Source organism: Homo sapiens, chromosome 1, assembly GCF_000001405.40.
Source record: "Homo sapiens chromosome 1, GRCh38.p14 Primary Assembly".
Classification (NCBI taxonomy): Eukaryota; Metazoa; Chordata; class Mammalia; order Primates; family Hominidae; genus Homo; species Homo sapiens.
Window position 1 is genome coordinate 16,985,958 of NC_000001.11, and position 26,917 is coordinate 17,012,874.

General features: G+C 57.3%; 1 protein-coding gene across 43 annotated transcripts, besides 4 other annotated features; it reads right to left on the reverse strand.

Moving 5' to 3' along the window:
• Positions 1-25,971, reverse strand: ATP13A2 (ATPase cation transporting 13A2). Of its 43 annotated transcripts, none has more exons than XM_047416553.1 (29): positions 25,772-25,971; positions 19,727-19,821; positions 19,417-19,599; positions 19,057-19,115; positions 18,750-18,864; positions 18,375-18,451; positions 16,339-16,416; positions 16,077-16,146; positions 14,443-14,550; positions 14,289-14,355; positions 14,054-14,185; positions 11,063-11,218; positions 10,429-10,539; positions 10,297-10,343; positions 10,019-10,207; positions 7,672-7,878; positions 6,529-6,624; positions 6,286-6,445; positions 6,052-6,172; positions 5,777-5,901; positions 4,170-4,330; positions 3,930-4,046; positions 3,734-3,813; positions 2,365-2,517; positions 2,181-2,277; positions 1,089-1,312; positions 848-999; positions 506-675; positions 1-401 (listed from the first exon to the last, which is right to left on the reverse strand). In XM_047416553.1, the coding sequence occupies exons 1-29, from the start codon at positions 25,779-25,781 to the stop codon at positions 264-266; spliced, it is 3,498 nt and encodes a 1,165-aa protein (XP_047272509.1). In that variant the 5' UTR covers positions 25,782-25,971; the 3' UTR covers positions 1-263. The 43 variants fall into 43 exon arrangements, with proteins under 43 accessions (XP_047272509.1, XP_047272506.1, XP_016856334.1 ...); XM_047416550.1 differs by having other exon boundaries at positions 10,034-10,207; positions 14,443-14,577; XM_017000845.2 differs by having other exon boundaries at positions 14,443-14,577.
• Positions 7,283-7,784: an enhancer, noted in NCBI's record as "H3K4me1 hESC enhancer chr1:17319735-17320236 (GRCh37/hg19 assembly coordinates)". NCBI's record gives its function as "activates a minimal SCP1, AML or CMV promoter by ChIP-STARR-seq in primed H9 embryonic stem cells {active_cell/tissue: H9 hESC(primed)}" and the evidence as "EXISTENCE:reporter gene assay evidence [ECO:0000049][PMID:30033119]".
• Positions 24,223-24,302: an enhancer, noted in NCBI's record as "active region_274". NCBI's record gives its function as "activates an Ori minimal core promoter by ATAC-STARR-seq in GM12878 lymphoblastoid cells {active_cell/tissue: GM12878}" and the evidence as "EXISTENCE:reporter gene assay evidence [ECO:0000049][PMID:35858748]".
• Positions 25,066-25,115: an enhancer, noted in NCBI's record as "active region_275". NCBI's record gives its function as "activates an Ori minimal core promoter by ATAC-STARR-seq in GM12878 lymphoblastoid cells {active_cell/tissue: GM12878}" and the evidence as "EXISTENCE:reporter gene assay evidence [ECO:0000049][PMID:35858748]".
• Positions 25,606-26,135: a silencer, noted in NCBI's record as "silent region_339". NCBI's record gives its function as "represses an Ori minimal core promoter by ATAC-STARR-seq in GM12878 lymphoblastoid cells {active_cell/tissue: GM12878}" and the evidence as "EXISTENCE:reporter gene assay evidence [ECO:0000049][PMID:35858748]".

Here is a 26,917-nt window from a genome sequence, read left to right on the forward strand (position 1 = left end):
GCCAGGAAAATATCATGACTTTATTTGCTACACTGACAGCAGCACTGAGGGGAGCTGGGGGCTGCCACCCCTACGCGGGATGGTCCAAGGTAGGGGACAGTAGTCAACGCTTCCCCAGGGTGGGGGTGGTCTCGGGGGAGGAGTGTAGACAGTCGCCAACCTCAGGGATGTGGGAGGTGGTGGCGGTGGTGTTGCTGGAGAGGGGTCCAGTTGGTGGCTCAGAGGCAGGGAGTTCCAGTGTCTGGGGTGCCCGTGGGCCTGCACTACCTCAGGGGGCCGGCGGGCAGCGGCGGCCAGGGCTGCTCGGCCAGCTCTCGTTCCAGCTGCTTGAAGCGCTTCTTGGAGGCCCGCTTGGGCCGGAGGCGGCGCAGGCAGGCGGGGAGGCACTGGTCTAGCACGCTCTGCAAAGGGCAGGGAGGGTGTCAGGGGCAGCCGGGGCTGAGCTGGGGTCAATGCACCCCCACCTCCCTTCTCTCCCGCTGCTGAGACCCAGGGCGGGCCCCACCTCCAGCATGAAGGCCCCCACGAAGTTGAGGGTGACCAGACCCAGCAGCAGCAGCTTGAAGCCGGTGTCAGTGATGTTCCTCAGCGCCAGCGGCCCCTGCAGGAGGCCGGGGACCAGGACAAGGCCCACCAGGACGGAGCTCAGGAGCGCCAGGGCCACCAGGAAGGGCACTGGGAGCAGGAGAGTCTCTCAGGCAGGAGCCACGCCCCCCCGGCACCCACAGACACACGTGTGCACGCCAGTCTTCCACTCGGCCGGCACCTCTCTCCCATCTGCCTCCCCAGCACCCCAGGGCTCCTCCCTCCCTCCGCCAGCATCTCCCGCCCGCGCCCGCAGTGGCACCATTGGTGTAGAGCGGCCGGCGGAAGGGCGCCCCCTTGGACACGGCTGCAGCCAGGATGAGGTACTGGAAGCTGGACAGAGAGAAGACCACGGTGTTCTCGTAGTTGGGCAGGTTGTCTGGTGCGGCCACTGTCCTGTTCAGAGGCACGAACCTGGGGGTACAGGGATGGGGGTCAGGGAACGAACGTGGGGTGGACAGGGAAGGGGCGGGATGGGGGTGGTCAGTCAGCTCCCTACTCACCATGGCTGGGCCAGGGTCAGGAAGTAGCCCCCTAGCTGCACGCCGGTCACCAGGACCATCTGCAGCAGCAGGCTGCTGAGCACGGGCACGCTGAGCAGCGCCCCCGGTGGCCGCACCCGTCCCAGGACCAGCGCTGGCCCCGTGCGGCTCATGAGCACTGCCACTGTGGTGGTGATGACCAGGTCGATGGCCAGGAACTGCAGGTCACCCAGGTTGGTGTTGATCTGCCACAGGGAAGGGAGGACAGAGGGGAAACTAAGACCTGGCCCTGGCAGCCCCTAGTCTGATAGCAGAGGCCCCACCCCTGCCCCGAAGGAATCTGATGGGTAAGGCATCCCCCAGTCTAATGGGGGCCGTACTCTCCTGCCAGCCCAGCGGAGGAGGTGCCGCTCTTGATGTGAGACAAACCCCTGGTCTGATGGAAAGGGCACCTGTGCTGACCTTGGGGGCCTAAATCTGAGGGGAGGTTTCCCTCCCTGTAACAAACTCCCGGCCCGAAGGGGAGGCTTCGGCTCTGCCTTGCGGAGTCCCTATAGCTACCAGGGCATGCACAGTTCCTGCCCTCAGGGAGCTCCTCGCTTTCAGGCAGACACAGGGACAGACCCAAGTATAAGATGTGCGCCGCCCTGCAGTGTCACCTCATTCGCTGGGGGTGAGCAGGCCATGCCCAGAGCAGGGGAGGGGAGAGCTCCTCCAAGTAGGGTGTGGGAGGTACAGCCAAGGTATGGGGCAAAGCAAGTGCATCTGGGGAAATGGGCAGACCTGTGGGGATGGGGCGGGGGCGAGGGTTTTGGCCCTGCCTCCGTTCAGTCTTCCCTGCAGATTGGGGAGCTCCCAGAGTTGCGGTCAAGATGTTAGCCCATGACAGCTGCTGCCATTTGTGAGGACCTAGTGGGTACCAGGCTCCGTGCCTGGTGTTTTTCTCATCTCCCCCAAGCCTTGCCACCTCTCCAACCACACAGCCGGAGAGTGGCAGGGTCAGGATCTGGGCCCACGTCATCTATTCTGGGACCTGCCAGCTCCAAGGCACAGGGCTGTGTCCCCTCCCTAGTCCTGGGACGGCTCTGGGTACGGAGCTCTGCAGATACTCACCGTGTAGAGGATCAGGACGGAGATGAACTGGGTCAGGCTGTACAGAGCCATGTACTTGAAGACGCTGAACGAAGTGTCAAGGGAACAGCGCCCCTCCCTGGGTGGCAGGGCACGGACATTAGGGGACCCAGGTTGGCTGACCAGCCCTGCTGAGCCCTCACCCACCGGTCCCTGCCTGCCTTACCTGATGACCATGGGCACGCACTCAATACTGGCCATGCTCGAGGTGAAGGGTGAGACCACTGAGGCTTCTGCCTGGGACAGCGAGATGCCGACATCAGCCGCCTTCAGGGCCCCACAGTCATTGGCGCCGTCTCCGCACATGCCCACGCAGTACCTGAAGAGAGGTGTGGACAGGTGTGGCCTGGGGAATTACCCCACCACCCCATGGGTGGGCTGGCAGAATATGATGACAGCTGGGCCCCTAATGCCACATGGTGCCTGGTGTACAGGAGGCGCTCAGTGAATAGATGCAATTATTATTATTATTATCATTATTATTATTATTTTTTGAGACGGAGTTTCACTCTTGTTGCCCAGGCTGGAGTGTAATGGCATGATCTCAGCTCACTGCAACCTCTGCCTCCTGGGCTCAAGTGATTCTCCTGCTTCAGCCTCCCAAGTAGCTGGGATTACAGACGCCCGCCACCACGCCTGGCTAATTTTTTGTATTTTTAGTAGAGATGGGGTTTCACCATGTTGGCCAGGCTGGTCTTAAACTCCTGATCTCAGGTGATCCACCCGCCTCGGCCTCCCAAAGTGCTGGGATTACAGGCATGAGCCACCGTGCCCGGCCTATTATTTTTTGAGACAGAGTCTCCCTCTGTTGCCCAGGCTAGAGTGCAGTGGCGTGATCTCTGCTCACTACAACCTCCTCTGCTGCCCAAGTGCCCTCAGCCTCTTGAGTAGCTGGGATTACTGGTGTGCGCCACCATGCCCAACTAATTTTTGTATTTTTAGTAGAGACAGGGTTTCACCATGTTGGCCAGGCTGGTCTTGAACTCCTGACCTCAGGTGATCTGCCTGCCTCAGCCTCCCAAAGCGCTGGGATTACTGGCATGAGCCACCGCGCCTGGCCTATTACTATTTTTTGAGACGGAGTCTCGCTCTGTTGCCCAGGCTGAAGTGCAGTGGTGTGATCATGGCTCACTGCAGCCGCAGCCTCCCAGGCTCAAGCAACCCTCCTGCCTCAGCCTCTTGAGTAGCTGGGATGACCGGTGTGTCACCACACCTGGCTAATTTTTAAATTTTTAATAAGAGATGGGGTCTCACTTTGTTGCCCAGGCTGGCCTCAAACTCCTGGGCTCAAGTGATCCTCCCACCTCGGCCACTCAAAGAGGTGGGATTACAGGAATGAGCCACCGCACCCAGCCTACAATTATTATTTTTAGCATGAAAGACCTGGGAGAGCCTGCCTGCTTTTGGTGAGGAGGGGTGACAGCTCTCTGGTGCCTGAGGAGGGAGACAGGGCCCTGGGGAAGGACAGATGAACAGACGAACGGACAAGCTCAGTCTCCGCAGGCCCTTGCCCACACCCTCTGCCGAGCACTCACTGAAGCTTCTGTAGCTCGCACACCAGCTCTGTCTTCTGCTCAGGGGCCATGCGGGCAAAGACAGTGCCCTGGACCAGGACCTGGGAGCACAGGGAGATGGGGGAGGGCTGAGGCACCCACCAGGGAGAGCGAGCCGTGAGGAAGGAGACAGAGCAGGGGAGGCGCAGGGCGGCCAGGGAGCTGGGGGCGGCCCTACCTTGGGCAGCAGCTTGGGGAAGTGCTTCACAATGATACCAAAGGTGGGCCCGCTGAGGGCCAGGTGCCTGGATCGGGGGTCTGGCTCCACGGTGTAGCTTGCAGCCTGGTCAGGATCCTGGGGGCCCAGGAAGCTCAGCTTAGCTCCCCCTGCCCACCCTGGAGAGTTGGGGCCTGGGTCAGGTGACACAGGGGTGGGGTCACTGGGTGAGGTACAGCTGGAACTCTGGGTTAGCCTCACCTTAACGCCATTCACGGCTGTGGGGGACTCCATCGGCAGGAACTCGAGAGAGGCAGGCTGACCCCGCTCAGGGTGGGTGGCGTGGACGATGATCAGATGCTCCTGGGGGGCCACCATGCCACAGCCCCGGGCCACAGTCACCGCTGTCTGCAGGTTGTCCCCTGGGGGTTATGGGGCAAGGTGAGGGTCTGAGGCTATCCGGGGAGGCCATCCTCATCCTGATCCTTACAGATGGGAAAACAGGCTGGATGAAATCCGTCTGCCACCACCAGCCAAGTGAGCTGAGGCAGGTTACCAACATCCCTTTGCCTCAGTTTTCTCATCTGTAGATCCAGGCATTGAAGGGTCTTAGGAGAACCTGGAGCCGTGGGCTGGAGCTCCACATATACTCCTTTTTTTTCTTTTTTTAAGACAAGAGTCTCTCTCTGTGGCCCAGGCTGGAGTGCAGTGGCTTGATCTCGGCTCACTGCAACCTCCTTCCTCCTGGGCTCAAGCAATTCTCCTGCCTCAGCCTCTTGAGTAGCTGGGATTACAGGAGGGTGCGACCACACCAGGCTAATTTTTTTTGCATTTTTAGTAGAGATGGGGTTTCACCATGTTGGCCAGTCTGGTCTTGAACTCCTGGCCTCAGGTGATCCCCCTGCCTCGGCCTCCCGGAGTGCTGGGATTACAGGCACGAGCCATGTGCCCAGGCTACATATACTCCTTACTGCTGTGTGACTCTGCTGCCAAGTGCCCATGAATGTGTGTGCACATATGTGTGTGTGCAGGGGCGGGGAGGACAAGGACACAGACCTCTTAGCTCCTGCTGTCTCACCCTAGCTAGAATCTTTTTTTTTTTGAGACTGGGTCTCTCTCTGTTGCCCAGGCTGGAGTGAAATGGCGTGATCTCAGCTCACTGCAACCTCCACCTCCCGGGTTGAAGTGATTCTCCTGCCTCAGCCTCCCGAGTAGCTGGGATTACAGGCATCCACCACCATACCTGGCTAATTTTTTGTATTTTTAGTAGAGACGGGGTTTCACTATGTTGGCCAGGTTGGTCTCGAACTCCTGACCTCAAGTGATCCGCCCGCGTCGGCCTCCCAAAGTGCTGGGATTACAGGCGTGAGACACTGTGCCCGGCCATTTTCGTATTCTTTGTAGAGACGGAGTTTTGCCATGTTGCCCAGGTTGGTCTTGAACTCCAGGGTTCAAGACATCCTTCTCCTTTGGCCTCCCAAAGTGCTGGGATTACAGGCATGAAGTACCGTGCCCGGCCAGAATCTTTCTCTTCCTGCTCCTTGAGCTTGTCACAGCCTCTGAGGCTGACATCATTATCCCCATTTCTCAGAGGTGCCACCTGGAACCCAGGCTGTCTGACAGCGCACATGGGTTCCTTGGAAGTCACTCCACTCCTCTGAGTCTCAGTTTCCTCATCTGTCAAACAGGGGTGACAATTACCACTTGCGGGGGGGATATTGTGAAGATTCACGAAATGTTTAAAAAGGACCTGGCCTGAAGCAAGGGCCCAAAAAGATGCCCCAAAAAGGAATCCCTGGTGCCCCTCTTCTCTGCCAGGAAGGGGCGGATTCTGCCCTGCTAGCCCGGGCCCCTACATGCCATTGTACCTGTCACCATGACGGCGCGGATGCGGGTCCTTCGCAGAGCCTGGATAACTGGCGTTGTCTGCGGCTTCAGTAGGTTCCTCATGACCAGCAGCCCCAGGAGGCTCAGGTCTCCTTCCACAGTGTCCCTGGAGGGTGGGCAGACCTGGATCAGAGGTCATGCAGTGGCCAGGGCCCCTCTCCCAGCCACCAGGCAGGGCATCTTCCTTGGGCTCTGCCTGCGTGAGAGCCTCCCTCTGCCTAGTCCTCAGAGTGGGTGGGACAGGAGACAGGCCCACCTCGTCAGTTGCTGGGCTGCCTCCAGGCTGGGCACAGTGGGCAGTGGCTTGCTGGCCAGGGCCACGACACGGTAGCCAGCAGCTGTATAGCTCTGCAGCATCTGGGCGAAGTCGGTGGGCACTGCCAGGGAGAGGCAGGTGTCACAAGGAGGGGATGGCAGGGACAGAGGCTGGGTACCCACCCCATTCTGTGCCAATGCCCAACCAGGGGGACTCAGGGGCTTCCCCCTGCACCTGTCTCGGGGTTGCAGAGCCCTGCCACCAGCTCCGGGGAGCCTTTGACGTAGGCCTCGGGCTGAGTGGCCCCTGGCCACGCCACCACCACACTCATGCGCTGCAGAGCCGAAGAGAAGGGGAAGCGGTGGAGGACGCTGACTGGCACCGGGGGCTCCTCCTGCAGGGTTGGAGAGGCAGCTGAGGTGCTGGCTGGGGAGCCCACCCCTCTGCCCTGCACCCAACAGGCCCCCCTCAGCTCACCATTGCCTGCAGCTGGGGCTCCCAAAGTGGGGGTCTCATCACTGCCAAGACCTGGGTCCCAAATGCTGAGTCTGCAGCCGGCTCTTCCTCCAGGACCTGGCAGGCAGGCAGGGAAGTTTGGTGTCTGGGGGCTTTGGCTCACAGAGAGATTTGAGCTAGACTCAGGGAAGACTTCCTTCATGGGAGACTGAATGGTGGGTTAAGAATGTGGGCTTTGGAGCCCGGTGGACTCAAATTCAAACTCTAGCTTTGCTACTTACAAGCTGTTGGGTGACCTGGAATACGTCACTCCAAATCTCCCAGCCTCAGCATCCGTGAAGCAACATTTGAGCTTGCTTGCTAGGGCTTGGGGAAGAGGAAATGAGACCAGGCCTCTGTGGCCGTGCGCTGGCGCATAGTAGGCACTCAGCCTGAGGCCTTGCCATTATTATTATGTTACTTTTATTTTAAGACAGAGTCTTACTCTGTGACCTAGGCTGGAGTGCAGTGGTGTGATCTCGGCTTACTGCAACCTCTGCCTCCCGGATTCAAATGATTCTCCTGCCCTCAGCCTCCCAAGTAGCTGGGACTACAGGCATGTTCCACCGCACTTGGCTAATTTTTGTATTTTTATTACAGACGGGGTTTCACTATGTTGGCCAGGCTGCTTTCAAACTTCCGACCTCAGGTGATCTGCCCACCTCAGCCTCCCAAAGTGCTGGAATTACAGGCATGAGTCACTGCACCTGGCCTATCATTATTATTTTTTGAGACAGGGTCTCGTTCTGTTACCCAGGCTGGAGTGCAGTAGCGTGATCACAGCTCCCTGTAGCCTCGCCCTCCCGGGCTCAATTAATCCTCCCACCTCAGCCTCCTGGGACTACAGGCATGCACCACCACGCCCGGCTAATTTTTGTATTTTTGGCAGAGATGGGGTTTTGCCATGTAGGTCAGGCTGGGGTCCCGGGCTCAAGTGATCCTCCCGTCTTGGCCTCCCAAAGCGCCGGGAGCCACGTTACAGGTGTGAGCCACTGCGCCTGGCCTATTATTATTAATGGTGGGCATAATAAGAGACCACCCTGAAAGATGGAGAGGGAAGACAGGGTGGGATTCGTTAGGCCCCACTGCCCAGAGGCAGGGGGCTGACCTGCTTGGCCTCCTCACCCAGCCAGTAGACTCCACCATCTTCAAGTCCATGGGGTCGCCCACGGGGGTGTCCTGGAGCCGGCTGAGGGCATGGCAGGTGGCCAGTGCTCGGAGCAGGGGCCCCACAGGCAGGCGGCGAGGCTCTGGGACCAGGGGCAGGAATGCCTGCCCCTTCAGGGGCACCACCCCCATCACGTCTAAGCCGTCCTCAGTGAGGGTGCCCGTCTGTGGGAGACAGGTGGGTGGGGCAGCGATGAGTCCTGGGATGGGGGTACCCTGCTGAGCTGGGCCTCCAAACCCCAGGCCCGGCGGACCCTATGGGAACCCCAGGAACTCGAGCTGGAGCCAAAAGATGACCTTTCTTGACTGCTGTCCTTGGCACATGTGATTCCCTCTGCTGGGGTCCCCCTCCCCAGCCCCCACCGTCTCTCTGTCTAGCATCATCTCTTCCAGGGTGTCTTCCTCCTTAACTCCCAAGTTAGGGCAGGTGGTTTGCTCTGGGCTCCTACCCATGGCCTCTTCACTTCCCCACACTTGTGCATTGTGGTTAAGGACCCGGCCCACGGTTGGCTCGCTCTCTCTCTCTCATTTATTTATTTATTTATTTATTTATTTTTATTTTTATTTATTTTTATTTTTTGAGATGGAGTCTTGCTCTGTCGCCCGCGCTGGAGTGCAGTGGCGCAATCTCAGTTCACTGCAACCTCCACCTCCCGGGTTCAAGTGATTCTCCTGCCTCAGCCTCCCGAGCAGCTAGGATTATAGGCACGCGCTACCTCGCCCACCTAATTTTTGTATTTTTAGTAGAGACGGGGTTTCACCATGTTGGTCAGGCTGGTCTCGAACTCCCGACCTCAGGCAATCCACCCGCCTTGGCCTCCCAGAGTGCTGGGATTACAGGCATGAGCCACCACGCCCAGCCTCAATATATCTGTTGAATGAGCGCATGAGTCAGTGCCTGCGTTCCCCATCCTAGACTCTAACTGCCCAAGTACGCGTCTGGCTCCTTGGCTAGCCTGGGAACTATAAGAATCTGGTCATCCCCCTCCCCGGTTTATTTATTTTTTTTTGAGACGGAGTCTCACTCTGTTGCCCAGGCTGGAGTGCAGTGGTGTGATCTCAGCTCACTGCAACCTCTGCCTCCCGGGTTCAAGCGATTCTCCTGCCCCAGCCTCCCGAGTAACTGGGACAACAGGCATATGTCACCGTGCCTGGCTAATTTTTTATATTTTCAGTAGAGACGGGGTTTCACCATATTGGCCAGGCTGGTCTTGAACTCCTGACCTCATGATCCACCCGCCTCGGCCTCCCGAAGTGCCGGGATTCCAGGCATGAGCCACTGCGCTGGGCCCCCTCCCCAGTTTAAAAGCGCTCTGTGGCCCCCGACAGCCTCTGAATGTCACCTAGCCTCTGTCAACCAGGCCACTGCCTACCCGGCCCTGTCCTGCTCCACCACTCCCTGTGCTCAGGTACGCAGCACATCTGTGCCACGCCACTCCCTGTGCCCCAGGCACACGGTACATCTGTGCTATGACACTCCCACCTTTTACCCTTGCTTCTCCTCGACCTGCCCCTCACTGAGGTCACTGAGGGACCTGCTCAGGGGGCTTCCTTGACTGCCTTCTCTCTAAGGAAGTGTCCCCATCTAGAACCCATCAAGCTATCCCACTGGCTTCCTTCCTAAAACCCACTGCCCACTCCTCAGCCCCAGCAGCTCCTTTGTGCACTCCTGGATCACTTACTTTGGTGGGGGACACACACACTCCAGTGACCACAAGGATGCCTGTGTTGGTCACTGCTGGGCCCCAAGGGTTGGGAGCAGCACGGGATGCACACTAGGGCCCCAGGTCCCCACCAGTAATTTTTTTTTTTTTTTGAGTTTTGCTCTGTCACCCAGGCTGGAGTACAATGGCATGATCTTGGCTCACTGCAACCTCTGCGATTCTCCTGCCTCAGCCTCCCGAGTAGCTGGGATTACAAGCATGTGCCATCATGCCTGGCTAACTTTTGTATTTTTAGTAGACGGGGTTTTGCCATGTTGGTCAGGCTGGTCTTGAACTCCTGACCTCAAGTGATGTATCTGCCTCAGCCTCCCAAAGTGCTGGGATTACAGACGTGAGCCACCGCGCCCGGCCCCCCACCAGTTCTTGAACACATGAATACATGATTCTAGACATTTCATCTGCCAGACCGTGAGCCCAGTGAGGGCAGGAGTGGGATGGGGTGGATCCTCTGGGGGTTTCCATCCCTAGACAGGACCTGGCATCCTGTGGGTGCTGCTGAGAGAATAACGCGGGTGTGGAGGCCTCACTGGGGCGCCTGTGGCTGTCCCGCTCCCCTGCACCAACCCCACCTGCGGCCCCACCTTGTCGAAACACACCAGCTGCAGCTTGCCCCCCAGGTTGATGCGCAGTGGGTGGATGCAGAAAATGCCCTGTCTCCGCAGTCGGCTCTGGGCGTAGAGCGTGCACACAGTCATGGCAGCAGGCAGGGCAGGTGGCACCACCACGGTCACCAGGTCGAGAGCCCGGATTACAATCTCATTCAGAGGCACCTGGCAGGGGGCACCATGAATGTGAGCACCTGGCTGGTTGGCCCCTGGGCCCTGCTGGCAGCACCCCCCACCCCACCCCCAAGGCTTACCCGGTTTCGGTAGAGGATGAAGATGCTGTAGATGGTGCCGAGGAGAGCTGTGGGGACAGCGAAGGACTGAGTGGGATTTGGGACCCAGGTGGGGGGGGCTATGGGCAGAGGAGGGTGCAGGGGGCCACTCACCCAGGACAGAGAGGGCAGCCACAAACTTCATGCTGTGTTTATAGAACTTGAAGTTGATGGGCCGGGGGTGCAAGATGGAGCTCACCAGGCCCCCTTTTGCCGTGCAGAACCCTGGGGAGGAGGCGGGGACCCCAAGGCAGGGAAGCCAGGGTGAGGGCAGGCCTTCCCCACCCCTAGCCCTCCCGACCCGTGCCTCTGGAGTTGCAAGACATGATGTTTGTGAAATTAGCCATCAGCAGTGTGGAGTCCTAACAGGTCTGGCCCGGCTCTTGTAGGCTTTTTAAGGGCTTTAAACAAGGAACTAGTGGATAGCATCTAAACACTGGGTGGTTCCACTGAAAATCCAGACACAGGGAAGGCTCCTGCCTGCCCGCTACATCCCTGCCCGCTCCAGCACTGTAACCCCGGCGGCTCCTCCAGATCTTGCAATGCTTGGCCTTAGTCTGGCCCAACTTCTGCTAAGATGGGAATGCTCAGACCCCAGATGGGGGGCAACTGGCCCGAGGTCCCACAGCAGGGCAGCAGCAGAGGTGGGCGTGGGGTCCAGGGTTCCAGGTCCCACCCTGCCTCACTCCACCTCTCCCAAGGGTGCTGAGCCCGGGATCTCTCTCAAGCCCAGCCTCCCGGCTCATACCTGTGCGGGTCACCACTGCCAGGACGTGCGGTCCCACATAGGCCCGGGCCTGCAAGATGAGGGTCCCGCAGAAGAGTGTGTGCCGCCGGTGTGTCTCTGCACAGTAGGGCCCCAGCCCCTCCGGCAGTGCCGTCTTCAGCACTGGAATGCTCTCTCCTGGTGGGGAACGTGGTGTGAGGACCACTCCACACCCCTCCCTCCCACCAGCAAACCAGGAGTTCTGTGTAGAATTGTCCCACAAGCTCTAAGTCTCAGTTAACTCTGTAACCAGGTGTGAACAAGAAATCACAGCCCCATTTTACAGAGAGGAACACTGAGGCTCAGAGAGGACGGAGATATAAAGGCACAGGGAGACACTCCTGGAAGCAGGTGGCAGCCAGCTCCCTGGAACCAGCGGGGGGGGGTGGGTCAGACAGAGCATGTGTGGGCATCATGTGTGCAGTGGGGCAGGGTGGGGGAGTCGTTCTCTTTCTGCTGGAATTATTTTATAACATGCATGGAGTGCTTTTCTAACTCCAACCAACAGAAATATTTACAAGGGGCCAGATGCGGTGGCTCACGCCTGTAATCCCAACACTTTGGGAGGCTGAGGTGGGCAGATCACTTGAGGCCAGGAGTTCGGGACCAGGCTGGCCAACATGGTGAAACCCTGTCTCTACTAAAATACAAAAATTAGCCGGGTGTTGTGGTGGGCATCTGTAATCCCAGCTACTTGGGAGGCTAAGGCAGGGTAATAACTTGAACCAGAGAGGCGGAGGTTGCAGTGAGCCGAGATCGTGCCACTGCACTCCAGCCTGGACAACAGAGTGAAACTCTGTCTCAAAAGAGGAGGGGAGGGGAGGGGATGGGGTAAGGAAGGGGAGGGGGAAGGAGGAGGGGGAGGGGAGAGAAATATTTACATGGAGGGGGCAAATATTTCCATGAGTTGGAGTGAGAAAAGCACTGCATGCTCGCCATGGCCCTGTGAAGTCCTGGGCAGGCTGCCTAGCAAACAGTGGCACTCCCTTACTGAATGCCTGCAGGCTGGGACTATTGAGCACCTACTGTGTGCACATTCCTGCAAGGGAGTCAGACAATCCTGCCATGTCTGCCTCACAAGAGATGAGCAGATGAAGTATGTGTGGACAGTTTGTGGAGGGCAGGGCTCAGGGCGTGTGCCCACAAATCATACTGATCACAATTACTACTTTTTTTTTGTTTTCTGAGACGGAGTCTTACTCTGTCACCCAGGCTGGAGTGCAGTGGTGCGATCTCGGCTCACTGCAACCTCCACCTCCTAGGCTCAAACGATCCTCCCACCTCAGCCTCCCAAGTACCTGGGACGATAGACGTGCACCACTACACCTGGCTAATTTTTTGTATTTTTGGTAGAGATGGGGTTTCAACATGATTTCCAGGCTGTTTTCGAACTCCTCACCTCAGGCAATCCACCCACCTCTGCCTGCCAAAGTGTTGGGATTACAGGTGCGAGCCACTGCGCCTGGCCTACGATTTGTGATACAAATACAATGCCAGCCAGAAAACTTCCCTGGAAAAAAACCACTATCCTGTGGTTTTTAGTAAACTCTCTCCAGTATCTACCACCAAAATATAACACATCTCAGAGAAAGAAATACTTGCACACATCAAGAGACACAGGACAAAGCTGCTCCTGTGGCGTCCTTTGCAATGGCTGGAAAATCACATTCTAAATACTCATGGCGAGCGGGCCGGTTGAGTCAGTTACGATACATCCGTATTGTGGACTCTCATGCAGCCATGAGGTGGGGCCATCCGTGCTTGTGGAAGGATGCCAGGAGAAAAAGCAAAGTATGGAACAATACACAGCATACAATCCCACGTTCAGAACAAAAGGAGAGGCAAATCAGCCCATGTGCACACACGTAATGCAGAAAAAGGCGTGGAAGACACCTCACACCCTTCACAGTGGCTGCCCTGGGGAGGGGAAGGGAAGGGGACTGTGGGGTAGTGAATGGGGACCGCAGTCTCTCACTCTGGGAGAGGGCTTCCCACTCTCCTGTGCCATCTGGAATCTTTATGACCTGAAGGTGGGCACTGGTATAGAAACAGCTCAGATGCAGCCAGGTGCTATGGTTCATGCTTGTAATCCCAGCACTTTGGGAGGCTGGGGCGGGCAGATCACTTGAGGTCAGGAGTTCAAGACCAGTCTGACCAACGTGGTGAAACCCCATCTCAACTAAAAATACAAAATTAGCCGGGTATGGTGGCGCACACCTGTAATCCCAGGTACTTGGGTGGCTAAGGCAGGAGAATCGCTTGAACCCAGGAGGTGGAGGTTGCAGTGAGCTGAGATCGCACCATGGTACTCCAGCCGGGGCAACAAGAGTGAAACTCCATCTCAAAAAAAAAAAAAAAAAAAAAAAAAGGAGAAATAGCCCAGATGCACTGGGTGGCTGGCCATTTATGCTGCACCTCTCACGCTCCTAAGCACTTTGCACAACTCTGTCCAGGAGGAGTGACTGACAGCCATCTTACAGAAGAAGGAACTGAGGCACGGAGATGATACGTGGTAACGGCCCAGGGGTGTGAGGTTAGCAAGTCCTAAAGCTGGGATTGTTGCTTGAGAGAAAAAGGAAGAGGAGGCGGAGCGCTGGCACACGCCTGAAATCCCAGCACCTTGGGAGGCCGAGGTGGGCAGATAACCTGAGGTCAGGAGTTCAAGACCAGCCTGGGCAACATAGTGAAACTCCATCTCTACTAAAAATAAAAAATTAGCTGGGCGTGATGGTATGCACCTGTGGTCCCAGCTACTCAGGAGGCTGAGGCACAAGAATCACTTGAACCTGGGGGGTGGAGGCTGCAGTGAGCTGAGATCATGTCACTGCACTCCAGCCTGGACAACAGAGTGAAACTCCGTCTCACAAAAAAACAAAAAAGGAAAAGGAAACTCAAATGAAAACTTTTGCCGCAGGGCAAAGGGTTGGATGGCAGGGGAGGAAGGAAGCTGCAGGCCAGGGGCTGGGGGCTCACCTGTCAGAGAGCTCTCATTCACCATGCACTCGCCGGCCACCAGGGCGGCATCACAGGGCATCAGCCCACCCTCCTGGGGCAGCACCAGGCAGTCTCCGGGCACTAGCTCACTGGAGTCCACCCACTCTTCCTCTGCAGGCAGGCAGGAGAGGAGCTCAGCTAGGTGGGGCCAGCCCCAGCCATGCCCCCCCACCCTCCCACTCCTGCCCCCGCCCCCTGGGCCCTAGCTCCTCACCTCCCCCTGGCCGGCACACGCACACCCGCATGGACAACTTGACCATGTCCCTTAGAGTCTGGCTTTGCTGTGGGCAGGGGACAAGAGGGCCGTGAGTGGGTGGGGGCCCCTGGGGACCCACCTGTCCCGTCCCCACCCACCTTATGGCACTCACCTTTCTGGTCTTGTACAGCGACAGGCAGATGGAGATGGAGGAAATGAGGAAGATGCACAGGGCGTACCAGTAGTAGTGGTCAGCCAGCCACAGCGCGATGCTGAAGGCCTGGAACCCATAGTAGGGGTTCAGTGCCTGGGGGAGGGGCGGGAGGCAGCGTCAGGGCCGCGTCCCCCAGGGCAGCCCAGCCACAGGCTGGGTCTCCTGTGCCCATGGGAGCAGAGGGCCCAGTGGCTGCCAAAGGACTGGAGCCAGGCCTTTCTCCTGGTCAATCCCATCCCCACCCAACCAGACATCCCCAGGGCCCTCAGTTTCTCCGCTCTAAAGAGGACAAGGGTTTATGACCAGCCTGGGCAACATGGCGAAACCCCATATCTACAAAAAATACAAAAATTAGCCTGATGGGGTGGCCTGTGCCTACGCTCCCAGCTACTCAGGAGGCTGAGGTGGGAGGATCACTTAAGCTGGGGAGGTGGAGGGTGCAGTGAGCTGAGATCGCGCCACTGCACTCCAGCCTGAGTGACAGAGGGAGACCCTGTCTCAAAAAAAATAAACAAATAAATAAATAGGATAAGGGTATTTACTGAACCCCCACTACACGCCAAGTGCTTTATCTAAGTGTCATACAATGGCAATGACAATTCTACAAGGCCGGTACCACCATTAGCTCCATTCTACAGATGAGGAAACCAAGGCATGGACAGGTGAAGCCACTGGCCTAAAACCACATAGTTCCAGCCAGGTGCGGTGGCTCATGCCTATAATCCCAGCACTTTGCAAGGCCGAGGCAGGTGGGTCATCTGAGGTCAGGAGTTTGAGACCAGCCTAGCCAACATAGTGAATCCCCGTATCTACTAAAAATACAAAAAAAAAAAAAAATTAGCTGGGCGTGGTGGCAGGCGCCTGTAGTCCCAGCTATGTAGGAGGCTCAGGCAGGAGAATCACTTGAACCCAGGAGGTGGACATCGCAGTGAGCCGAGATCACGCCATTGCACTCCAGCCTGGGCAACAAGAGCAAAACTCTGTCTCAAAAAAAAAAACAACAAACAAAAAACAAAAAACCACATAGCTTCTAAGTGACAGACTGATTTCTATGGGGCCAGACTCAAAGATCTCTTTCATGGTGCCTGCCCCCGATCAGAGGGCTGGGATGTTCACACTTTATTCTAGTTGTGTCCAGGTCACTGGCTTCTCTTTGTCCCTGTGTGACCTTGGCCATGTCACAGCCTCCAACTGAAGCTTGGATTTCTCAGGTGTGAACAGTGCAGTCCCAGGCCCAACCCACGGGACTGTTGGGAGCATGAAAGTGGAGGACGCACAGAGAGGACCCAGGCTCTAGGGCGTGTCTCTGGGGACCCCATAGATGCTCAGGCTGCGTGGATTTGCCTCTTGGCCTCCAATCCCTATGAGTGGGGCCCCAATCTGTGACCCAAGCCTTGGGCAGAACCTCCAATTCCTGGACCTGGTCTCTCTGGCTAGGCTGACTGCGGCAGGTTCTGAGATGACGATCCACTATGGAGAAGGGGACAGCTGGTCTGGTTGCCACCGTAAAGTGGCCCAGAGGAGGCAAGCCCTGGGCCAAGGTCACACAGCACGCCAGGCAGGGCTGGGGCAAGACCCAGGGACAGCCCTACCTCGTCCACCAGCAGCTGGGGGTAGGACTTGACCGGTATGCTGATCACGTTGGGGCCGTAAATGGCCTTCCTGGAAGAGGGGATGAGGCCAAGCCATCAGAAGGAGGAGCTGTGGCTGGACCCTCCCGGGGTGAAGGAGCTCCCCACTTTCAGCTGGGGGAACTGAGGCCCAGAGAAGGCAGGTGACTGGAAGGCAACCACATTGGGGGGCAACACAAGGAGCCCCAGTTCTCAGGGCACCCCGGTCCAGGGCAGCACTGACCTCACCATTTGGTCCTGGAGGCTGAGGCCATGGCGGGAGCGGTGGACGTCGTCACAAGAGCGGCCATGGTCCAGGAGGCTGGGGGTGGGTGCGAGGGGACACGCATGGGCCATGGGGCCTGAGGTCTGCATCCCCCACCCTGTGCAGGCTGGAGACTATGGGCTCTAGGCCCCCCATCCCCGTTCTGCCACACTGAGCTCCTGGGAGCAAGTAAGCCCCCTTGAACCCAAGGCTTGGCTTTGCCCTTTTGTTCCTCTCACTGGGTTCCAAACCAAGTCACTGAAGAAGGAGAACAGCGAGAGATGATGCTAATAATATGAACAGTGAAAAGAGTAGCTGTTATTTAGTGATAAGGGCACTATTTACACTGATGATACCCTGGGCAAGTCACTTAACCTCTCTGTGCCTCAGTTTTCTCATCTGCAAAATGGGGGCAGTGACAGCACCTACCACATAGGGCCATGGGTAGATTAAGTGGGGCAAGCCTCGGGGACTGCTTTGGACGTGCCTGCCACTTGCTAAGTGATGAATGCACGGGTGATTTTTGCTATTATCCCCATCATGCAGCAGAGGCTGTTGCTGCCATCCCCATCTCCCCTCTGCCTCACCTCCACATGACAGCTGGACCCTGAAAACACCTGTCTTTACCTGAGGCCTTCTGGCTGCATGTGAATCCCCTGCCTGTGAGCCCGGAAAGCGTGGAAGACTTTGTGTCCCGTGACTGATAATGGCAGGGAATTTGATGGTAACTGTCCTCACTCCCTGTGTGAGGTCGCCCAGAGGTGTGTGGTCTACGCTGGCCCAAGGAGATCCCCAGGCGACTGAAGTCCGGGTGTCCACAGCTGTGGCAGCCAGCATAACCTCCCTCCGTGCTTCCATCCCTTCCCCAGCACTGCCTGGGATCAGCTTCAAAACAAACTCCCTGCCCTTGAGCCCTTGTCTGGGGGTCTGCTTCTGCGGCATTCAAACTAAAGTGTGTGAGCAGGGCCCGGTGGCTCATGCCTGTAATTCTAGCACTTTGGGAGGCTGAGGCGGGTGGATCACCTGAGGTCAGGTATTTGAGAACAGCCTGGCCAACATGGTGAAACCCCGTCCCTACAAAACATGCAAAAATTAGCTGGGTGTGGTGGCATGCACCTGTAATCCCAACTACTCGGGAGGCTGAGGCAGGAGAATCGCTTGAACCCAGGAGGCGGAGGTGCAGTGAGCCGAGAATGCGGCATTGCACTCCAGCCCGGGCAACAAGAGTGAAACTCCATCTTAAAAAACAAACAAACAAACCAAAAAAACCACACACACACACACACACACACACACACACACACACATACACACAAACTAAGGTGTGTGGTGAGCTTGTGTTTCTTTTTCTTTTTTTTTTTTTTTGAGATGGAGTCATGCTCTGTCATCCAGGCTAGAGTGCAGTGGCGCGATGTTGGCTCACTGCAACCTCTGCCGCCCAGGTTCAAGCGATTTTCCTGCCTCAGCCTCCCAAGTAGCTGGGATTACAGGCACATGCCATCACGCCCAGCTAATTTTTGTGTTTTTAGTAGAGATGGGGTTTCAGCATCTTGGCCAGGCTGATCTTGAACTCCTGACCTCGTGATCCACCTGTCTTGGCTTCCCAAAGTGCTGGGATTACAGGGGTGAGCCACCGCACCCAGCCTGAGCTCATGTTTCTTAAGCCTTTTGTAGGTGGCAGAGCAGTGACTAAACCCCAAGCAGACAGTCTGAGTACAGAGCTGATAGTCTGATTCACAGTGGTGTCACAACCTCAGATCACATTCGGTGCCAAGCTCTACATAAATTATTATCTATTTCACCATCAAAACAATCCTAGGAGGCAGAAGTTATCTTCATGCCCTATTTATAGACAGAGATCCCAGGCCTGGAGGGGCTCAGTAACCTGCCCAAGGTTTCAGACAGCAAAAGCATCAGAGCTGAGAGGGGAGCCCAGGCCATGCCATGCCACCGTCTGTGCCCAAACCAGTGCCACTCTGGGAGGTGACATGAGCCACACAGGCCCTGACTCCTACCTGACCTGGTAGAAGGCTTGCTGGGTCTCGATCCAGATATAGCGCTGGCCCTGGAAGAGGTAATACCGCAGCACCCGCTTCTGGGTGGGAGAGAGGAGAGGATGGGTTGGAAGCTGGCCCCGGCCCCAGAAGCAGTGTGCTTATGCTGGGAGCCGAGGGATGGGGGTAGGGGGCAGGGACTGGTGTCACCAGACAGAGAGGTGGGGAGAGGCCTGAAAGTGTAAACGTGCTCAGACAGCATCCTGGATGTTTGGGACAACAGAACTAAAAGGTGGTGGGAGAACATGAAGTCTGACTCTCCCATTGCACAGATCATGAAACCGAGGCCGAGAGAGGGGCAAGGACTTTTTCAGAACCCACCTGTCCGACACTCACCGCCTCCTCGCTCTTGTGGAGCTGGGCCGTATCCTTCCAGGCACCCTCTGGTACCGCCCCAACTGCCGCCTGGCTCCGGCCATCCTCTGCCTGGGACTGTGGGGACGGCTCCAGGCTGGGGAAGCAGGTGAGGGTTACTCTCGAGCTCTGGGAGCTGCCCTGGCACCTCCCTGTGCTCACAGAGCCATCTTCCCTCCCTAGGATGGGAGGCGCCAGAGTCAGCCTTTATGGGGGGGCCGAGGGTTGGGGAAGTTGGGGAGGCCAGGGTAGCAGGGGCTTCTGGGAAGGGGCAATGGGGCTGCCTCACCTGCCCTCGCCGATGGCCTCAGTCTGCACCTGGACAGTGAAGAGCTGCCAGGAACTATCCTGGAACACAGAGGTATGGACTCAGTCTCAGAAGAGTCCCCTCCCCTCCCAGGCCCTGTCCTACAGCCAGGCGGCCCCTGCTGGAGAAGGCAGAAATCAAGGCTATGGAGAGCCCTCCAGAAACCACCCGACCCGTCCCTTCTGCCCAATGCTCAGATGGGAAAGCTGAGGTCCAGAGAAGAGCGGGACCTGCCTAATGTCCCATGGAAAGTCAGTGGCCGGGTTGGCACCCAAGCATCCTCCACCCCCGACCCTGACCCTCACTGCGCTTCTCTAGCCCCAGGCTCAGCCTGACTCTCACCTCTTTGTCTCTTATTTCGATAACGAGTGTTTCGGCGTGGGCCAGGTTGCAGGGCCGGAGCCGCAGCCGCACCCCCCACAGGGGCTTCCAACGGAAGAGCAGCAAAGGGATCCCAGCCATCATCCAGACCACGACGTGATAGCCGATGACCCTCCATGGACTGCCACAGTAGCCGCTGAGCCTCTGCGAACGCAGCGAGAGAGGGCCCAGGTCGGGGTGGGAACGGGGCTGGAGTAGGAAGTTGGGGTGTCTGGGTGGGCCTGGGCATTCACCCCCTGCAGCTTTTCCCCACCCCACTCTGCCCACTTACCACGGATGAAACTGAGGAGCTGAGGGGATCTATTGATGTCCCTATCGTCAGGGTCCCATAACCGGTGGGCGTGCTGCCCACGAGAGGGCTGCTGTCTGTGGACAGAAAAGAGAAAGGTCATTTGGGGAGGCACCTTCTCCTCTTGCTTCCTTAAAAACAATAAACATCAGCCTGGGCGCGGTGGCTCACGCCTGTAATCCCAGCACTTTGGGAGGCCGAGGCGGGTGGATCACCTGAGGTTAGAAGTTCGAGATCAACCTGGCTAACATGGTGAAACCCATCTCTACTAAAAATAAAAAAAATTAGCCGGGCGTGGCAGCGCGTGCCTGTAATCTCAGCTACTCAGGAGGCTGAGGCAGGGGAATCACTTGAACCTGGGAGGTAGAGGTTGCAGTGAGGCAAGATCACACCACTGCACCCCTGCCTGAGCAACAGAGTGAGACTCCATCTCAAAAAACTAAACAAAACAAAACACAAAACAGTAAGCACCTGGTCTGACAGAGCCCAAAGCTCATGTCTTCCTGTGTCCTTTATCTGGCTCTTCTTTCCGTCGGTTCTTACTTACCGTATCTTTTTTTTTTTTTTGAGACGGAGTGTCACTCTGTCACCCAGGCTGGAGTGCAGTCACTTGATCTCAGCTCACTGCAACCTTTGCCTCCCAGGTTCAAGCGATTCTCCTGCCTCAGCCTCCCGAGTAGCTGGGATTATAGGCATGCACCACCATGCCCAGCTAATTTTTGTATTTTTAGTAGAGATGGGGTTTCACCATGTTGGCCAGGCTGGTCTCGAACTCCTGACCTCAAGTGATCTGCCCACTTTGGCCTCCCAAAGTGCTGGGATTACAGGCATGAGCCACCGTGCTTGGCCAGTAGTGTCTTGTTTCCTTGCGTGTGTCGGTCTTTCTGCTGGGTATGGCCCAGAATTGGAGAATGGGGCCTGGACAGTGCCCCAAGCCCCCATGGTGCTCGTGCATCCAGCCATTAGCTTCCTTGGAGCTCTGGGTCTCACTTTTCTATCCTCATCCAGTCCCCACCCTGAGGGCAGGGGTCAGGGATGCTTATCTTCATTCCATGCCCGTGCCCAGCCCAGGTCTGGCAGTGAGGAGATGCAAAGTCAAGTCTGGACTAATAAACGGTCAGCCCTGCAGGCCTATCTTTACAGATGGGTAAACTGAGACTTGGGGAATGGTATCAGGTGGTTCTATTGCAGATATTCTTTTTTTTTTGAGATGAAGTCTTGCTCTGTCGCCCAGTCTGGAATACAATGGCATGATCTCGGCTCACTACAACCTCTGCCTCCCAGGTTCAAGCGATTATCCTGCCTCAGCCTCCCGAGTAGCTGGGATTACAGGCGCCCAGCTAAGTTTTGTATTTTCAGTAGAGACGGGGTTTCACCATGCTGGTCAGGGTGGTCTCAAACTGCCGACCTCAGGTGATCCACCCGCCTTGCCTCCCTGAGTGCTGGGCTGACAGGCTGAGCCACTGCGCCCGGCCACAGACATTCTTTTCACTCCTTCCTCCTGTGCTGTAGAGCTGTGGCCTTAGCAGGGCAGGCAGCCAGTGGATGTTCTGGGGCTCCAGAGCGGGTAGAGCTCACCAGCCCCACCCTTGGACAGCCTCTGTCAGGGTTCATCTACGGTCCCAGACCACCTGGAGCACCTTTTACATATGCAGATGCCAGGGCCCTCCCCAGACTGGCTGGATCAACTCCTCAGGCCGGGGTAGGGATGGTGCTAGGCATCTGTGGTTTCACAAGAGCCTCTGAAAAAGCTCACTAAGCTGGAAAAGCTGGGCGGGTGCGGGGTAGGCTGCTGATTTTCTGGGCTCCCTCCTTCATCCCCCAATCTGAGCCCTTCTAAAATTTTTCCTTTTTTTTTTTTTTTTTTTGAGAGCGAGTCTCGCTCTGTCACCCAGGCTGGAGTGCAGTGGCGCGATCTCGGCTCACTGCAAGCTCTGCCTTCCGGGTTCACACCATTCTCCTGCCTCAGCCTCCCAAGTAGCTGGGACTACAGGCGCCCGCCACCACGCCCGGCTAATTTTTTGTATTTTTAGTAGAGATGGGGTTTCACCGTGTTAGCCAGGATGGTCTCGATCTCCCGACCTCGTGATCCGCCCGCCTCGGCCTCCCAAAGTGCTGGGATTACAGGCGTGAGCCACAGCGCCCGGCGAGCCCTTCTAAAATTTCTACCCAAAGAGTCCAGAGTGCCCCAGGCAGCTGCTGTGGGCACAGCACCCCCAGCCTCTGAGCAGCCCCATCCCCAAGCACTCTGGCTTCAACACTCCTAGAGGGCTCACTGTGCACAGGGTACATGGCTAACGTATCAACCCTGCCAGGTAACCTCGGTTGTGATGTCCTTTCATTCATTCATTCATTCATTTATTTACTTATCACTCTTGTAGCCTCGGCTTCCCAAAGTGCTGGGATTACAGGCGTGAGCCACCATGCCCAGCTTACAGTTTTCGTGTATAAGTCTTTTTTTGAGACAGTCTCTCTCTGTCACCCAGGCTGGAGTGCAGTGTTGCGATCATAGCTCACTGCAGCCTTGACCTCCCAGGCTCAAGCAATTCTCCCACCTCAGCCTCCAAATAGCTGGGACTACAGGCACAGGCCACCATGCCCAGCTAATTTTTTTTGTAGAGACAGGGTTTTGTCTTTTTGCCCATCATTTGTTCCTAAGAATTTCTTTTTTGATGCTGTGTTTCATACAGCAAGTGCCTTTGCCTCTCTGGGCTTCCATTTCTCATCTCTAGGATGATAGTCCCGAAGCATCCAGCACACAGGGAGGTAGAAGCATTTGAAGTTCCTGGGGGGGTTGCGTGGACAGGTGGGCAGGACCCGGCTCCCAGGTCAGGGGGGCGTGGCTTCTGCTTATCCATTTCCCAGGCTCTCTTCTCCTTTCACATCACCCTGTCTGAAGCCCTGGCTGTCCCACGGCTCCCTAGGCCCATTCAACAGTTGCTCCTTGTACCTTAAAACCCTCAGGCCGGCCGTGCGCAGTGGCTCACGCCTGTAATCCCAGCCCTTTGGGAGCCCAAGGGGGGCGGATCACGAGGTCAGGAGGTGGAGACTAGCTGAGACCATCCTGGCTAACACGGTGAAACCCTGTCTCTACTAAAAATATAAAAACCAAATTAGCCGGGCGTGGTGGCAGGCGCCTGTAGTCCCAGCTACTTGGGAGGCTGAGGCGGGAGAATGGTGTGAACCCAGAAGGTGGAGCTTGCAGTGAGCTGAGATCACGCCACTGCACTCCAGCCAGGGTGACAGAGCAAGACTCAAAAAAAAAAAAAAAAACCCTCAGGCCAACAGCCCAGCGGGCTCAGGGATGATGGGAAAGGAGCCATCCCTGCGGTGCTGATTTGATTTCCTCCCGCACCAACCCACAAGGTGGGCTCTCTTACCCAGTTTGACAAACGAGAGCACTGAGCCTCTGGGGCAGTTGCCCTCAGACTTGTCTCAAAGCTGGAACAGGGCTGGCCTTACTCCCAGGTCCTCTCTGCCCAGCACATCTACTCCTGACATTCCCCTCAGCATCAGGCTCAGATGGGTGTCACTGCCCTTACTGCTCACAGTACCTGCCATGTGCTCAGGGGTCAGGAAACACTGATTGACCGACTGACTGAATGAATGAATGTCTGTCTCTTGGACACAACAGAGCTTGAAGGCAAAGGTGCTGGGAGTTGGGGGGAGGGGCTTGAGCCTCTTCCTTTTTTTTTTTTTTTTTTTTTTTAAAAGAGACAGGGTCTCACTCTGTCACCCAGGCTGGAGCACAGTGGCATGATCCTAGCTCACTGGAGCCTTGACCTCCTAGGCTAAAGGAGGTACTCTTGCCTCTGCCTCCCAAGTAGCTGGCACTACAGGCAGGTGCCACTGCACCAGGCTAATTTTTTTTTAGTAGGGACAGGGTCTCATTTTGTTGCCCAGGCTGATCTTGAACTCCCGGCCTCATGCTGATCCTCCTACCTCAGCCTCCCAAAGTGCTGGGATTACAGGTGTGAGCCACCACACCCGGCCTCAAGACTCTTTATGAAGAAAAGGTTCTTCAAAAAGAGGGCAGAGTCCCCAGTATGTAAACAGCGGTCCCCCTGGGAAGTTCTTCCTCATGGCAATCGTATGACTGTCACTTCACAATGACACTCTCTCAGTCAACCTTGGCAAAGAGGAAAAGGGGAGTGGAACTTGAGGGAGGAAGTCACAGCTGTGGAAACCTCCAGAGCCCCTCCCTGCAGGGATCAAGCCCAGGGCACTCTCTCCTGCAGTACATCTGTTTATCCCCAGCCACAGCCCAGTCTCCCCAGGGCTTCTGTGGGCTCAGACCAGCCCAGAACAGGCACCCACAGGCTGTGTGGGGGGGCGAGAGCACCTTCATGATGGCATTGCTCTTTTTTTTGAGATGGAGTCTTCCCCCCCCGTTCCCCCCTTCCCCCCTGCCCGTCTCCCAGGCTGGAGTGCAGTGGAGAGATCTCAGCTCACTGCACCCTCCACCTCCCAGGTTCAAGCAATTCTCCTGCCTCAGTTCCTGAAGTAGCTGAGACTACAGGCACATGCCACCACACTCAGCTAATTTTTGTATTTTTAGTAGAGACGGGGTTTCCCCATGTTGGCCAGACTGGTCTTGAACTCCTGACCTCAAGTAATCCGCCTGCCTCAGGCTCCCAAAGTGCTGGGATTACAGGCGTGAGCCACCACGCCTGGCCTGTCATTGCTCTTCTGATGAACAGCAGCTCCCATGGAGTGCTCACCATGCCCTGCGGAAGCCCTTCAGTGTGCTAACTCAATGAAGCTTCACACACAACCCTCTGGGGTAGTGACTATTATTATCCCCATTGTACACCTGGGGAAACTGAGGAACAGCATGTGAATCCCTTGTCCAGGGTCATAGAGCTTGAAAGGGGAGAAGCTGGAAATGAGTGTGTCTGAATGGGCACATTCTTTCCCACAGCCATTCCATGAAAAGTACAGATTAGGATTCCCATTTAAAACGAGGCCCAGAGGAGTAGATTGACAAGCACAAAGTCACACAGCTATGAGGGGCCAAGACTGGACTTGAACCTCGTCTGAGGTCACAGCTCGGGGCAGTGTCACCAGCACTGTGGATCAGAGGGGCTAGAGCCATTTGGGACCTCTTATTTCCTGCGGAAGCCTTGGCTTCCTGCTGGTGACCTGGCAGCGGCCCAGGGCGGCTGCCTCCTCCCTGGCTGTGGTTCCCGGCGGCGGGGAGCTCCTGTCTTCTGCCAGGCTGAGGCGGGAGTGTGTGTGAACCATCTTCCCATCTTTGGATCTGGATTCTAGGGGCTGTCTTTCCTCATTCCTTCCCCTCCCTCGCCGGGGGGTGCACTCTAGGCTGTGGGGCTGGGGGCTGAGTGACAGACACTGAGATGAGACCTTTCTGGATAGGGGAGGAGGACTGGCCCCATTCCCGGCAGGTGGGATTTAAATTAGACCCTGGAGGAGTGGGCGTAGGACATCTGGCCAGGGATGGGTTGCATGGAGGGTGTGGCCCTTGGCCCTGGGTGTGACGGGTTTTCTCTGGGGTCTGAGGCAGGAGGTCAGGAGTGGCGCTGTGGCCCAGGACATCTACCCAGGAAATGGAGTCCCGACTCCCCCAACGCCATTCATTCATTCATTCAGCCCAGAGGGGTTGCCCAGAGGCCCGAGGATGCAGCCGTCTCCCCCACCTGGACATCCGTCACTCGGGGTGGGATCCGATTAAGTGGGCGTGGGGTGGCCTCCCCGTCCCCGCACGGCCCCAGGACCCTCTTGCACAAGCGCCCGGCTTCCAATCCCGCGGCTGAGGGGTGCAGGGGAGGGGAGGGACCGGCTGCGAGCGGCGGCGCCATCCCCAGCCCCGGCGTCTCTGGGAAGAAACCGGGGCCGAGTCCCCGTCAAAAGGGAGGGGACGGGCCAGGATCCCCAACCAGGTCCCGCTTCCTGGGCTCGCGACCCCGCGGTGGGGGGCGTCGCCTCCCCTCTCCCTCCAAGGGGTGACGACAACTGGCGGGCCGGGGACCGCGCCGGGCTCGGGGCCGACCCGGACTCCGCACTCACCTGCGCTCATGCCGGCTCCTCGCGCTCATCGCCGGCCCCGGCGCTGCGGCCCTCGGCCTGGGCCCCGGCGTGCGCAAGGCCCTGGGCGGGGGCGCGGTCCGGACGGCCCGGGGCGAGGGGCGCTGGGCTAGCGCGGGGCTGGAGCAGGGCTGACGCGGGCGGGGCACCTGGGCCACCAGGCTCGGCGCGGCTCCGACACTGCCGCAGTCCCTCCGTGCGCGCCGCAAGCCCCGCCCGGCCCTCTGCGGCCCTCGCAGCGCCCGCGCCGGGGCTGCCGGGACTTGTAGTCCCCGCCTGCTCCTCCGCACACACCGGGGGCGGGGCGACCGGAGACACACACCTCACGGAGGTAGCCCCCGCCAGCACGTCCCAGTGGTTAGGGACTGTGCGTGCTGGTCCAGCTCTCCATGTCTTCCAGGCCGCGCGACCGTGAGCAAGTCACTGATCCTCTCTGGCCCTCTTTTCCCAACCTGTAGGATAGCAATGCCTGCTTCACAGAGAACTGCTGCGAGGATCACACAAGAAAATGCTTGTCAACTGGGCGTGGTGGCGCATGCCTGTAATCCCAGCTACTCGGAGACTAAGCCAGGAGAATCGCTTGAACCCAGGAGGCGGAGGTTGCTGTGAGCCGGGATCATGCCATTGCACTCCAGCATGGGCAAAAAGAGCGAAACTCTGTCTCAAAAAAAAAAAAAAAAGAAAATGCGTATCAAGCACTTGAGACAGTGCCTGGCGCTGCTTGATGAATGCAAAGAAGGAAGACACACCTGCCCAGAGATTCACAGGGTCAGATGTGGGCCCACAGAGACCCAGGGAGAGTCTGCCATGATGCACTGGAGGCCTTGAAATGCCAGAGAAAGAGAAGCCTCACAGCGTGACCTGCAGACACACCTGCACTGGGGGGATTCATGAAGACCCCTGAAAGGCACCAGAGATGTCTTACCTGCGTGCAGCATTTATCCTGCTACCCCATAGTGACCGGCACAGGCATAGTGTTCCCTGTCTCCAGGACCTCTGGACAGAGGAGCTCCAAAGGGGAGAGTGGATCTGTGAGATCCTAGGGCAAACAAGGGAAGGTTCACGTTAGGGCCAAGGATAGACGTGGGCAGGATCACTGGTCATTTGTCCAGTATGAATTTATGGAGT